Source organism: Homo sapiens, chromosome 9, assembly GCF_000001405.40.
Source record: "Homo sapiens chromosome 9, GRCh38.p14 Primary Assembly".
Taxonomy (NCBI): domain Eukaryota; kingdom Metazoa; phylum Chordata; class Mammalia; order Primates; family Hominidae; genus Homo; species Homo sapiens.
The window spans coordinates 132,878,319-132,891,098 of NC_000009.12; the positions used below are offsets into that span (position 1 = coordinate 132,878,319).

The 12,780-nt window shown below is 52.9% G+C and overlaps 2 protein-coding genes across 11 annotated transcripts in view; one reads left to right on the forward strand and one right to left on the reverse strand.

Moving 5' to 3' along the window:
* AK8 (adenylate kinase 8) overlaps positions 1-728 on the reverse strand; it is a 153,469-nt gene extending 152,741 nt beyond the window's left edge. For both annotated transcript variants that reach the window (NM_001371771.1, NM_001371773.1), the window contains exon 1: positions 636-728. The gene's annotated coding sequence lies outside the window, so the exon portion shown is untranslated. The remainder of the gene's footprint in view (positions 1-635) is intronic.
* SPACA9 (sperm acrosome associated 9) lies at positions 26-11,996 on the forward strand. Of its 9 annotated transcripts, XM_047422697.1 has the most exons (6): positions 580-696; positions 1,311-1,363; positions 5,593-5,773; positions 9,051-9,253; positions 9,972-10,119; positions 11,639-11,883. In XM_047422697.1, exons 3-6 carry the CDS (start codon positions 5,630-5,632, stop codon positions 11,648-11,650), a joined length of 507 nt encoding a protein of 168 aa, XP_047278653.1. In that variant the 5' UTR covers positions 580-696; positions 1,311-1,363; positions 5,593-5,629; the 3' UTR covers positions 11,651-11,883. The 9 variants fall into 9 exon arrangements, 8 of the variants coding, with proteins under 8 accessions (XP_024303165.1, NP_001303827.1, XP_047278653.1 ...); XM_024447397.2 differs by lacking the exons at positions 580-696; positions 1,311-1,363 and adding an exon at positions 26-118; XM_017014231.2 differs by lacking the exon at positions 1,311-1,363 and having other exon boundaries at positions 11,677-11,996.

Below are 12,780 nucleotides of genomic sequence, written 5' to 3' on the forward strand. Positions count from 1 at the left end.
CATCAGCACGCGCCGCGGCCCCGCCCTGCAGGCTCCGCGCCGGGCCCAGATACCCGATCCTCGGTCGCGCGGGTCGCCCCCGCCCCGACCTCCCCGGCTGACGCGCTCTGCGGCTCGGGCAAGTTCTTTCCCCAACCCCGGCCTCGCTTTTCCCATTTGCGCATCTTAGCGGGGGACACCCTCAGGTGGCTTCCAGCTGGGCCTCCTCGTATCTGAGACCCCCGACGAAACCCAGAAGGGGCAAGTCGGCCCTCCGAGGGGACGGGAGGCAGAACCTGCTTCTGGTTCTGTCAGTGCTCCCCGGCCCGGCTCCCTGTGCCTCAGTTTACCCATCTTTAAAACAGACGCGGGAATAAATGTGGGGGAGGGTGTTTGAAGGGGGAGGGGCGTCCATGAGATGGGCCGGAGGTTCGAGGATCGGGTGGAAATCCTCAGCCCAACTCCTAGAGTCGAGCCCCGGTAGACCCCTCCCAGCTCCCCGGCTCTGGCCAAGCCGCCAAGTGACCCGATTGCTATGGCACCGGCGGTAACAATCACGCCCGCGGCCCCGCCCCTTCTCGCCCGACGTCCCCACCCACCCTCGCCTCCCAAGTCCTGGAACGGGCCTCCCCACCCTCCGGGGCACCGACACTCACGGAGTCACTCCAACTTCTCTGGGTGCTCCGTGGAGCGAAGAGCGCTCTAGGACAAGCAAGGGTAAACAGGGATGAGTGTGGGTGGGCCCACTCGGACCCCACCCCGGCCTCTGGGTCAGAAACTGGAAGCTGGGGTGGAGGATGGAAAGATGGAGGGGTCCGGAGGATGGAGGGGCCTGCACAGCTGTCTCGGGGTGGGGGCGAGGGGAAGGTTCGCGCTGGAGACGGAGCTTTTTAAGTCGTATGAATTCCCAGTGGTACGGGGCAGCTTGATATTTTATTAGTCGCAACACTGAATTGGGATCTCTAGCTCTTGTCTGTTGCCGTTAATCGTAGGAGCTGTAAGAGTTTGTTGAACTCTTTGTGCTCTCGGCAAAATTCTGTTGTCTCTGTACCTTATGGAGAGGGAAAATGGCACAGTCAATGCAGACAGCCCCAGCTTCAAGTTCTGGCTCCGCTTCTTACTGTGTGAGCTTGGCAAACTCTCTGCTTGCTCCGTGCCTCACTTTCCTGCCCTGTGAAGAGGGAACTGCTGAAGGATTTCAGGAGCTAATGTATTGGAGAGTAATTGGCATGCAGTAAGCACACAATATATGGGGCTACTATTAGTAGTAGTATCTCATTTAATCGTTCCAACAATCCTGTGAAATAGGCACCTTCATTCCCATTTTACAGATGAGAAGTTGGAGGATTAGAACAATGAGGAGTGGTTGGCTGGGTAACTTTGGGTGAGTCACTTCCCCTTTCTGGGCTTCTTTTCTCATCAGTTGTTGATCATACAGCCTTAGAACCAGAAGGCCTCTTGAAGAAGAGGCTAATCCAAACTCTCTCATTTGACAGATGGATAAACTGAGGCCCAGAAAAGGGGGAAATCTTGGCTAGGGCCACTGGTTAGATTGGGCAGAGCCAGGGCATGAACTCTGCATCCAGGCTCCAGCTAAAGCCCTTTTCTACCAGCCATCAGCCCAGAGACATGCCCTCCCAACGTAAAAGCCAGCACTGTTGCCTCTTCCCCTCCAAACCGCTTCCTCAAAGTGTGTACACCTTGGTAGGCTTGTCAAACCCAACTGTAAAGATAGCTGGGGAAGAAAAGGAAGCTGCCTCCCCCTGAGCAAAGAACACAACAGCCATGCCTGCCATTTGCACTGGAGAGGTTTGTTTTGCTTCCTGGACATTTCTGAAATGACTTGCCTTTCTCCTCATTTATTTTAAGCCCTAGGCGCTTTTCCTACCATGATTCAATCTTCTTTAGCAGCCTGGAAAAATACAAATCAATTAAAGCCTAAAACCTATGGGTAATCATTTTTTTCCTCCCTCCTCCCCCAGATCGAGAAGTGCCCGTCCCCTGTGCCCTTCATCCACACTAATTTGGCTGCAGTGGCTCTCGTTCAAGGGACGATCACTTCGGATAGCTTATTACAGCTCCTCTCATGACATTCCTGGCGTGCATGTCACAAGTTGCTAGGATCAAGAACAGAGTCAGTTCCTCTCAACCACTACCAACCACAGCTCCCACCATGATGAGGGAAAAGCCAGGCCGAAAGGGCACACGCCCTTTCTCCCTGGAACTCCACCTATGTGCTCTCTCTCACTTTTCTGGAGCTTCACCTTTGAGTCATTTGTAAGCCCTGGGCCAACATTAGGGCAAGGCAAGTGATGCACCCTCAGCACAAAACTTAAGGGAGTGCCGGCAATTCAATCATTGAGGTGGATGTTTTTCACGTTTTAATGCAATATATTTTAAAAATCAAAAATAATGCTGCCTAAAATCCATTTAGAATAACATGTCAAAAATTTAAGTAAAGGTAGGCTCAGTGTTACTGATTTCTCCTTTTGCCTCAGGCCTCAGTATGGCAAGGTGCAGCTATCTTTTTTTTTTTTTTTTTTGAGATGGAGTCTTGCTCTGTCGCCCAGGCTGGAGTGCAGTGGCGCCATCTCGGCTCACTGCAAGCTCCGCCTCCCAGGTTCACGCCATTCTCCTGCCTCAGCCTCCCGAGTAGCTGGGACTACAGGCGCCCGCCACCGTGCCCGGCTAACTTTTTTTGTATTTTTATTACAGACAGGGTTTCACCGTGTTGGCCAGGATGGTCTCAATCTCCTGACTTCGTGATCCACCCACCTCGGCCTCCCAAAGTGCTGGGATTACAGGCGTGAGCTACCGCGCCCAGCCAGCAATCTTTTCTTTACAAATTCTGATGTTGCCAGCTCATGCTTCTAATCCCAGCACATTGGGAGGCTGAGGTGGGAGGATCGCTGGAGCCCAGGAGTTCGAGACCAGCCTGAGCAACATAGGGAGACCCCATCTCTACAAAAAAAAAGAAAAAAAAAAAAGAAAAAAAAGAAGAAAAAAAAAAAAAGAAAAAAGGTAGTCAGGCATGGTGGCACATACCTGAGGTCCCAGCTACTCAAGAGGCTGAGGCGGGAGGATCACTTGAGCCCAGGAGGTCAAGATTGCAGTGAGTCGTGATCACAGCACCACACTCCAGCCTGGGTGAAAGAGCAAGACCCATTCTTTAAAAAACGTTTTTGGGGCTGGGTACAGTGGCTCATGCCTATCATCCCAGCACTTTCGGAGGCTGAGAAAGGGAGATCACTTGAGGCCAGGAGTTCAAGACCAGCCTAGCTGACGTGGTGAAATTCCATCTCTACTAAAAATACAAAAAATAGCCAGGTGTAGTGGCACCCACCTGTAATCCCAGCTACTCAAGATGCTTTTTTTTTTTTTTGAGACAGGGTCTCACTGTGTCACCCAGGTTGGAGTGCAGTACTGCGATCATGGCTCACTGCAGCCTTGACCTCCTGGGTTCAAGCGATCCTCCTGCCTCAGCCTCCCAAAGTGCTGGGATTATAGGCATGAGCCACTGTGCCTGGCCTATTTTCATCTTGATTGCCGAGTTTTTTGGCGCCTCCTTAAGTTTTGCATGGGGGCAAGTGTCTCCCTCACCTCACCCTAGTTGGTCCTGGGTGAGCCGGACACCACGGGAGGCACAACAGGAAACCACTGTGCGTGAGTCAGCATGTCTGCTCCATGTGGCAGGGACCAGCCAAGGATATGGCAGGTGTCAATAAACCATGGACCCCCCATCTCATTCCCCACCTTCAGCTCTCCTTTCCATAGGAGGTTGAGCTGGAAAGAGGCCCCTGCCCTGCCTGCCCTGGCCCAGGCCCACCCCCAGGGCAGCTGCGACTGTCCCTGTGTCTGTTGACAGTCACAGTGCTGTGGCTCTGCTGCAGAAGCATACTCTCTTGTCTTTCCAGGAGACTCACTCAGTGGCTCTTAAGGTGGCTCCTCTAAGGCAGCCTTGCTGGCTTTTGGCTCCAGGGATAGAGGCTCCATGGCTGGGCTCCATCTTGCTAAAGGGCCTCTTCCCCAGCCTCCTCCAAGTGCTCTGATGTACCACCCCCATCATCTCGCGGAGGCCATCTCCTGGTCTGTTCTTGTGTTTCCTTTCATTCCTCTGATGCCATCTCTTCTTGCATCAACTGGGATGCTCCCCCTACCCTGCCTCTTTTTTTTTTTTTTTTTTGAGTCAGGGTCTCCCTGTGTCCTAGGCTGGAGTGCAGTACTGCGATCATGGCTCACTGGAGCCTTGACCTCCTGGGTTCAAACTGGACCCCCAGCTCCAGCCCTGCTCTGGACACAGCAGAAAGAAATATTTCCCAGCCCCGTCTTGTTATTCCTATCCACCTGGGACCTGCTTGGAAGCTTGGAATGTGCCTTCCCTGCCCCAGTCCATGCTAAATGTTCTGGCCCCTTCCATCTCCAACATCTCCCTTGGACTGGACCTGAGCTCAGCACAGCCTTCTCTGACCCCTGCTCATGTGGTGACACGTTCGAGCCTGGCCTTTGTTCTGGAGGCAGTGGAGGGGCAGCCGAGTGTGGCAGCACTGACGATGCTGGTTAGACGTAAGGAAGCCTAGGACCCAGGGTGTCTTGGGCACAAATTTGCTGTGACACCCTGGGCAAAACCTTTCCCTCTGAGCCTCACTTTCCCCATAGCAGCTCAAGGGAGCTGGTTTTCTCAGTCCCTTCCAGCTCTAACATGAATAGAAATCTGTGGTCTGGAGCATTTTGCACGCGCTCAGCAAAACTGTGATGTCATGGAGCACACACCCACAGACTTTTCTGCTCACAGGAGGATTGTAGATGCTCTGTGGAGCACCTAAATCACAGCAGGGACAGTCTGTGAGGCGCCAAGAGAGAGTCCTCCCCACAGCCTCCATGTTACTGATCATGGCATTCCAGCAATTAACAGGGTCAGGGGGCAGTCCACTAGCCACCAGCCCTGCCCTGAGAATGCGCAAACCTGAGACCAAGGCTCCTGCCCCCAGCCCAGAGCAGGCAGACTTACATCTTCTCAAACTAGACAGTCTAGTATTGATTCTTCTCCCCGCTTAATCCATGGGAAGGAATTCCCAGACTTTCCCACCAGTTGCAGAGCAGCTTTACAATAATTTGATCCAAACTGATCATCTCCTGGTTTTATATCCTGTGGCATATCCCTTGATCCCAGGTTTTGCTGACACCACAGCAAGGGATTGGAGGGCGTGTGTGTACACGCGTGCGTGTGTGTGTGTATGCATGTACCTGTATGTGTGTGCACATGCATGTGTGTGCGTGTGTGTGTGCGCGCGTGTGTGTAGATACCCACATCTGGAGAAACAGAACCAGAGAAACTCTGTCCACAGCTGAGGGAAGAAGTCACATTTCCTGGCAAAGAATGTGTTCATGGAGGGTAAATTTCGAGGTCAGGCTCAGCTCTGTCATGGACAGCCTGGGGGCTCTGGACAAGTGTGCAGCCTCCCAGGGCCTCGCTTTCTTCTGTGGGGAGGCACTCACAAGGCGCTCCAGTGAGAGGGGCCATGGGTATCCCTCTCCCCTGACAGTCCTTCCCTCCGGAGCTGGATCCGAGCATTGGGTCCCAGGACCTCATCACTATCCTCTGTCTCCCCATAGATTCCTCTTCTCCTGTAAATGACCACAGAGGAAGACAATGAATGAGGTGAAAGAATCCCTTCGCAGCATCGAGCAGAAGTACAAGCTCTTCCAGCAGCAGCAGCTCACCTTCACCGCCGCTCTGGAGCACTGCAGGGAGAACGCCCACGACAAGATCCGGCCCATCTCCAGCATTGGACAGGTGGGGCTCCCGACCCCCACCCCGGCCGAGGGGCAACAAGCCCAGTCCCCTCTCACAAAAGATGAAACCACTGGGGCCCAGAGAGGGGAAGGACGTTTGCGCCAGAATTAGGACCCGGACCCAGAACCTAAATGATGTAATGAGTCCTTCATTCGTTTCTCTACCAAATATGTAAGTGAATAACAACAAGTGAATAAAGAGGCAGGTTTAAAACTCAGCCGGCCAGGGCTTAAGTCCTAGCTCTACCATGTGCCACTGCTGTGATCTCAGGCCAATGACTTCACCTTTCTGTGCCTCAGTGTCCTCATCTGTGACGCAGGTTCAGTGGTCACCCATAGAAAACCAGGGATTTACTGGTGACCAGAGGGATCCTGTCCTTCCCATCAGATTCCACTGGGGGTTGAGGAACTGTGGGATGCCAAGCACACCGCCAGGTGCTTTCGCAGATGTTTTTATTTAACCTGCATCTCCTCCAGGGTTAGCTGCTGTCCAGGTTTGCTGTGCAGGACTTGGAGGCCTCAAGACCAAATGATCCTTCCAGGATGTTAGGGGCTGGAGCTGCAGTGCAGTTAGGAACACACACAGGCCGGCCCTTCACAGCTTGGAGGGAGTCAGCTTGTGGAAGGGTAACTGCCCCAAGATGGGTGGGAACAGGCGCAGGGCTCAGAACTGCAGAGGAGAAACAGGCTCGGGAGGAACAAGCAACCCTTGCTGGCAGCATCCTTTAAAAACATTTTTTTCTGGCCAGGCGTGGTGGCTCATGCCTGTAATCCCAGCACTTTGGGAGGCCGAGGCAGGTGGATCATGAGGTCAGGAGTTTGAGACCAGCCTGACCAACATGGTGAAACCCTGTCTCTACTAAAAATACAAAAATAGCTGGGCGTGGTGGTGCGCATCTGTAATCCCAGCTACTCGGGAGGCTGAGGCAGGAGAATTGCTTGAATCTGGGAGGTGGAGGTTGCAGTGAGCCGATATTGCGCCACTGTACTCCAGCCTGGGCGACAGAGTGAGACTCCGTCTCAAAAACAAAACAAAACAAAACAAAAACAAAAACAAAAAAATGAAAAAAAACACTTTTTTTTTCTAATTTTGGTAAAATGTTTCCTCAATTTTTTAACTCAAAAAAATGTTAAATATAGAGGCCAGACACAGCGGCTCATGCCGGTAATCCCAGCACTTTGAGAGGCCGAGGTGAGTGGATCACCTGAGGCCAGGAGTGGAGACCAGCCTGGCCAACATGGTGAAACCCCATCTTTACTAAAAATCCCAAAATTAGCCAGTTGTGGTGGTACGCGCCTGTAGTCCCAGTGACTCGGGAGGCTGAGGCATGAGAATCACATGAACCCTGGAGGCAGAAGCTGCAGTGAGCCGAGATCGCACCACTGCACTCCAGCCTGGGTGACACAGCAAGACCCTGTCTCAAAAAAAAAAAAAAAAAAAAAAAGTTAAATGTACAGAAAAGGAGCACCCATATAACCCTCACCCAGATTCACCGACTTGTGACATTTAGCCAATTTAGCCATATTTGCCCACGCATGCAGCCCCTGAGCTATTGGAAAATAAACTTCCTCTTCTGTAAACCTGGACTTCGGGGGAAAAAAGAAAAGAAACTGCCTACATCCTTTTTAGTCCATCCTCCAGAAGCTTCAAAAGTCAACAAGTGTCCCTTCCCAGAATCTACATCCATGCATAAGGGAGTGGCCTTCTTGCCTTAGGTTCAGCCGAAGGCTCTTGGTAAACAGTGGCCTTGTGTTCTGAGTTGCCTCACCCCTCCCCTGCCCTCCCTGAACCAGAAGTGTCCAAAGGTTCCCTGCACACCGCCCCCCACCCCCGCAATGCTCTGTTGTAGTTACACCATGGGGCAGGTTCCTCCTCCTCGACCCCTACAGGTGCCTTTGTGGGTATGAGTGTGAAGAGCCTCTCCCCCTTACGAAGCTGCTTGTGCATGGCAGTCCTTGGGAAGGAACCACTTCAGATTGTTTGGGGAAACATCCCCTAGCAACAAAAAGACAAACGGTTACAGCAAGAAAACCCTGATTTAGATGTAGACCTTTGTGGGTGCTGGAGGAGGTGATACCTGCATCTGTCATCAGATTGTGGAGAGTAGAACCATCTGACTACGAAATGGGTCTGTTCATCTGGCCTGGACCACAGCCAATTCCTCCCTAGCTCGAGATCAGACCTCCGGCTCTGGCCCAACCTCAGATGCAGTCACTGGGTAACCCCATAAGCTCCACTTACTGGCCTGCCCCTCCTTCTCCACCTTGTGAACACAGTACGGCTGAAGCCCAAAGGATTCCAGTCCCTGCTGTTTCCCTCTCAGTATGGGTGGCCCACGCTGGAATTTCTCACAATGAACCCTCTAGAAGTGGGATGACAGGCACTGTGGCATTAAGTCAGGGGGCAGCCCCCTTTTGCTTTAGGCGGTGGTTGGTTCAGGTGGCAGGGGACAGGTGAGGGGTAGGGCACGGAGCCACTGAGCTGGGGACACCCAACTAAGCCACTGGTGCCCTGGGCGGGTTATTTCACCTCTGCAAACCTCCAGTGTTCATGTCATGGTACTGATCTGTAAAATGGGAATTTAAAAAGGTACCTGCTCAGTGTGTAGGGTTTAGATGAAGACAGGCGAGAGCAGGCCCGTAAAGCATTTTGCATGGTGCCTGGAACACTTGATTTTATATCCATCTATCTATCTACCCATCCATCCGTCCATTTAATTTAATTAATTTTTTGTTTTTGAGATGGCATCTTGCTCTGTTACCCAGGCTGGAGTGCAGTGGCATGATCTCGGCTCACTGCAGCCTCCTCCTCCCGGGTTCAAGTGGTTTTCCTGCCTCAGCCTCCCGAGTAGCTGGGATTACAGGCACGTGCCACCACGCCTGGCTAATTTTTTTTTTCCTAGTAGAGATGGGGTTTCACCATGTTGACCAGGCTGGTCTCGAACTCCTGACCTCAAGTGATCCCCGCCCACCTCAGCCTCCCAAAGTGCGGGGATTACACGTGTGAGCCACTGTGCCCAACCGATCCATTAATTTCATATCATATCTATCCATCCATCCATCCATCCATCCATCCATCCATCCATCCATCTATAGAGAGAGAGATACCACTATATAGAGTGGTCTGTACCTTAAAATGCTTAAGCGTTACTTGCGTCTCCCCCATGAGTCATGTAGGGTGGGAGGGAGTAGGGTGGGTGCTTCTGGACATTTGCACCATAAGCCAGCCAGGACCCGGGTTGGCATGTCCCCAGCTCATGTGGCGGCGGCCCTTGCAGGTGCAGAGCTACATGGAACACTACTGCAACAGCTCCACAGACCGGCGGGTTCTGCTCATGTTCCTGGACATCTGTTCAGAGCTGAATAAGCTCTGCCAGCACTTTGAGGCCGTGCACTCTGGCACCCCAGTCACCAACAACCTCCTGGAGAAATGCAAAACCCTCGTTAGCCAAAGCAACGACTTAAGCAGCCTCAGAGCAAAGTAAGTCCCTCTGATGCTGCTCTTGAGGCCCCGTGTGTGCCTGTGGGGAGGCCTCTGTCCTGCTTCTTTCCTGTTGCCTGGATCATGGTGCTCCTATTAGACCACCCCGGGCAGGAAATCCCAGTCTCCACTCATTTATTGGAATGACTCGGATTCAACAAAACCTTTTCTTTACAACCATCGTAGACATGGCAGGACACCAGGTGTCTCACGGGTGTTAGCACCAGGCAGGTGGAGAAGGGGGTGTAGAGCCCAGAGCAGTTGCCCCCAGAAGCCCACAGAGATCCTCACTGACATGCAAAGAAGTGGACACCAGAGCCGCCTCCCAGGGGCAGCAGCACTGGCACTGAGGGCTCCTCATCCTGACAGCCCGGGAGCCTGCAGCACAGTGGGCCAGAGCCTGGGGAAGCTCTGTAGATACCAGGGTGAGAAGAGCCAGAGGGATGAGCCAGCCAGTTCCTCACCCCTAACCCAGGTTTCTACGGACCATGGGGCAGTGGTTTGCATCTCCTGTCTTTCACACCAGAATTACCTGGGGCTTGTGGCACCCCAGGCCTGGTCTGCCAGAATCTCTGGGGACAGAGCGCCTCAGCGTGCTGTGTGTCCAGTTCTAAAGCCTCCCCAGGTGACTCTGCTGTGCCTGAGGTGTGGCAGCTGCTTGCCACGGCATGGCAAGTCCCGGGAGCATGGGTTCACCTGGCCCCCTGCCGTCCTGCAGATACCCTCATGATGTGGTGAACCACCTCAGCTGTGACGAGGCCCGGAACCACTACGGCGGCGTGGTCAGCCTCATCCCCCTCATCCTAGACTTAATGAAAGAATGGATCGCCCACTCCGAGAAGTTGCCGCGCAAGGTGCTGCAGCACGTGAGTGAGCCCCAGGCGCACCAGGAGAGCACCAGGGGAGCCGCTCGTCCTGCCCAGGCCATAGGGACCCAGCCCAGGGCCACTAAACACAAGTGTAGACAGCTCACAAAAGCCAGCCTCAAACCCAGGGGATGTTCAAAACCACCCTGGAGGCCTCCTGGTGGGAAATTGTAACTCAGAGCCAGGAGCTCCGTCGGCGGAGAGCTTTGCTGTTTAATTTGGATTTTACTGGTTGGTCCTTTTTTCACTGGTACCCATGGACCCTGCCACTTACTAACCCCAAGGGAATCAGCCAATATATTACTGAGACTTCCTCTCTCTCTTCTTGCTTTAACTTCTTTTTTTTTTGAGACGGAGTCTCGCTCTGTCGCCCAGGCTGGAGTGCGGTGGCGCAACCTCGGCTCACTGCAACCTCCGCCTCCCAGGTTCACGCCATTCTCCTGCCTCAGCCTCCCAAGTAGCTGGGACTACAGGCGCCCACCACCTCGCCTGGCTAATTTTTTGTATTTTTAGTAGAGACAGCGTTTCACCATGTTAGCCAGGATGGTCTCAATCTCCTGACCTCATGATCTACCCTCGTGATCGGCCTCCCAAAGTGCTGGGATTACAGGCGTGAGCCACAGCGCCCGGCCCTCTTGCTTTAACTTCTAACATTTCCACTTCTAAGCATCAGGCTCCGTGCTGATGAAGAGGAAACCCACTTACAGAAGTTGCCCAAACAGGATGGTGTGGTAGAGGGTCCCAGGAGGGCACTGAACTGTCACCTAGGTCCTCTTTGAGCCACATCCGGCTCCAGTGCCACGCCTGTCCCTGCTGCGGGCTGCAGTTTTGCAGAGGGTGATCAAGCTGGAGACCATCTGCTCCTTGCCCCACCACCAGCCCCAACTGTAGGCAAGGCACACGCTGTTTGCGAGCCAGGGATGCTCCCCTCCAGGATGGAGTGGGGGTCGGCATGTGGAACTCAGCGTGTTTATTTTTTTATTTTTTGAGATGGAGTTTCACTCTGTCTCCCAGGCTGGAGTGCAGTGGCACGATCTTGGCTCACTGCAACCTCCACCTCCAGGTTCAAGCGATTCTCCTGCCTCAGCCTCCTGAGTAGCTGGAATTACAGGCGCCCACCACCCCACCTGGCTAATTTATATATATATATATTTTTTAGTAGAGACGGGGCTTCACCACGTTGGCCAGGCTGGTCTTGAACTCCTGACCTCAACTGGTCCACCCGCCTCGGCCTCCCAAAGTGCTGGGATTACAGGTGTGAGCCACGGCACCTGGCCAGAACTCAGTAGTGTGTTTAGTTCTCTGGACCACAGCCAAAGGGGAATAAACTCACCTTTCCTTCGCCTTTACTTGGGAGAGGGAGACCATGACAGAAGCCAGAATTCTGATTTTGTGGCTCCTGAGCAAGGGCGATGACCTGGTTTTCACAGCGTAGTCGAACCCCAAACATTGTAAAATGTGTCCCTGGCTTCTGAGCTTGCCCAAAGTAATGTCTGACTGTTGGTTTTTCCCTTCACAGGGGACGACTTAGCTTCTGTATTATTGTTGCTTCCTCAGGGGGAGACAGTCAAGAATAAAAAGTATTCTACCACCTCTCTGCCTGACTTGGTTTCCTGGGATTTATCCCTGAAAGAAAACCTACATCTCCCCTAAGACATCAAAGGACACTGGGCAGTAAGCCTCAGCAGACAGCAGAGAGAGAGGCCACCCTAGGCAAGGGGGCATGCCTGTCTCAAGTCGGCTTCTAAGAGGCTCATGCCCAAGCTCCAGAGGACCAGCAATCAGATCTTCCTCCAAGGATGGGAAGTCTAGTTAAGAGACCTAGTCAGATAAGAAAACCTGAATTTTCCAGAGAAATTAAAAACTGCCGCCTCCCAGCCTTAGTCTCAAAGGAGTTGCTTCAACCATTAAAATGGGCAGAGCAGGGTGGGTGCAGTGGCTCACGCCTGTAATCCCAGCACTTTGGGAGGCCAAGGCGGGTGAATCACTTGAGGCCAGGAGTTCGAGACCAGCCTGGCCAACATGGTGAAAACCCGTCTCTACTAAAAACACAAAAAAACTAGCCGGATATGGTGGCAGGCGCCTGTAATTCCAGCTACTTGGGAGGCTGAGACAGGAGAATCACTTGAACCTGGGAGGCGGAGGTTGCAGTGGAGTTGAGACCAGGCCACTGCACTCCAGCCTGGGCGACAGAGTGAGACTCCGTCTCAAATAAATAAACAAAACAAATAAAAATAAAATGGGCAGAGCAACGCTGATTTCCAGACACAGCCAGGCAGAGGCAAGCAATTGAAAGCCACATCACAAATGAAATTCATCCCTGGTCCTTATATGGAAGTCCCAGGCCAAGAGATCATAAGCCAGGGTAGATGTCAAAATTGTGTAAAGGCAGTTTCCGGCCTTCTTCTAAAGCCCATGAAGGGCACGGAGAAGGGAATGTTGGGAGCTGTACTGTCTCCTTGGCACACTCACATTAACACAACCAGCAAGGCTCAAGAGGGCAAGCTCTGGAGCACTGAAGTGTCAGTGTGGTGCCACCAAAACATGGGACACCCAACATGCCAGCACGGAGGAGCCACACACCCCTGCAGACAGCCTGGTTCTTGGTTTTTCTGTAGGCAGGATTCAAATCACCCCCTCCCACACTATGCCACTTGGCCA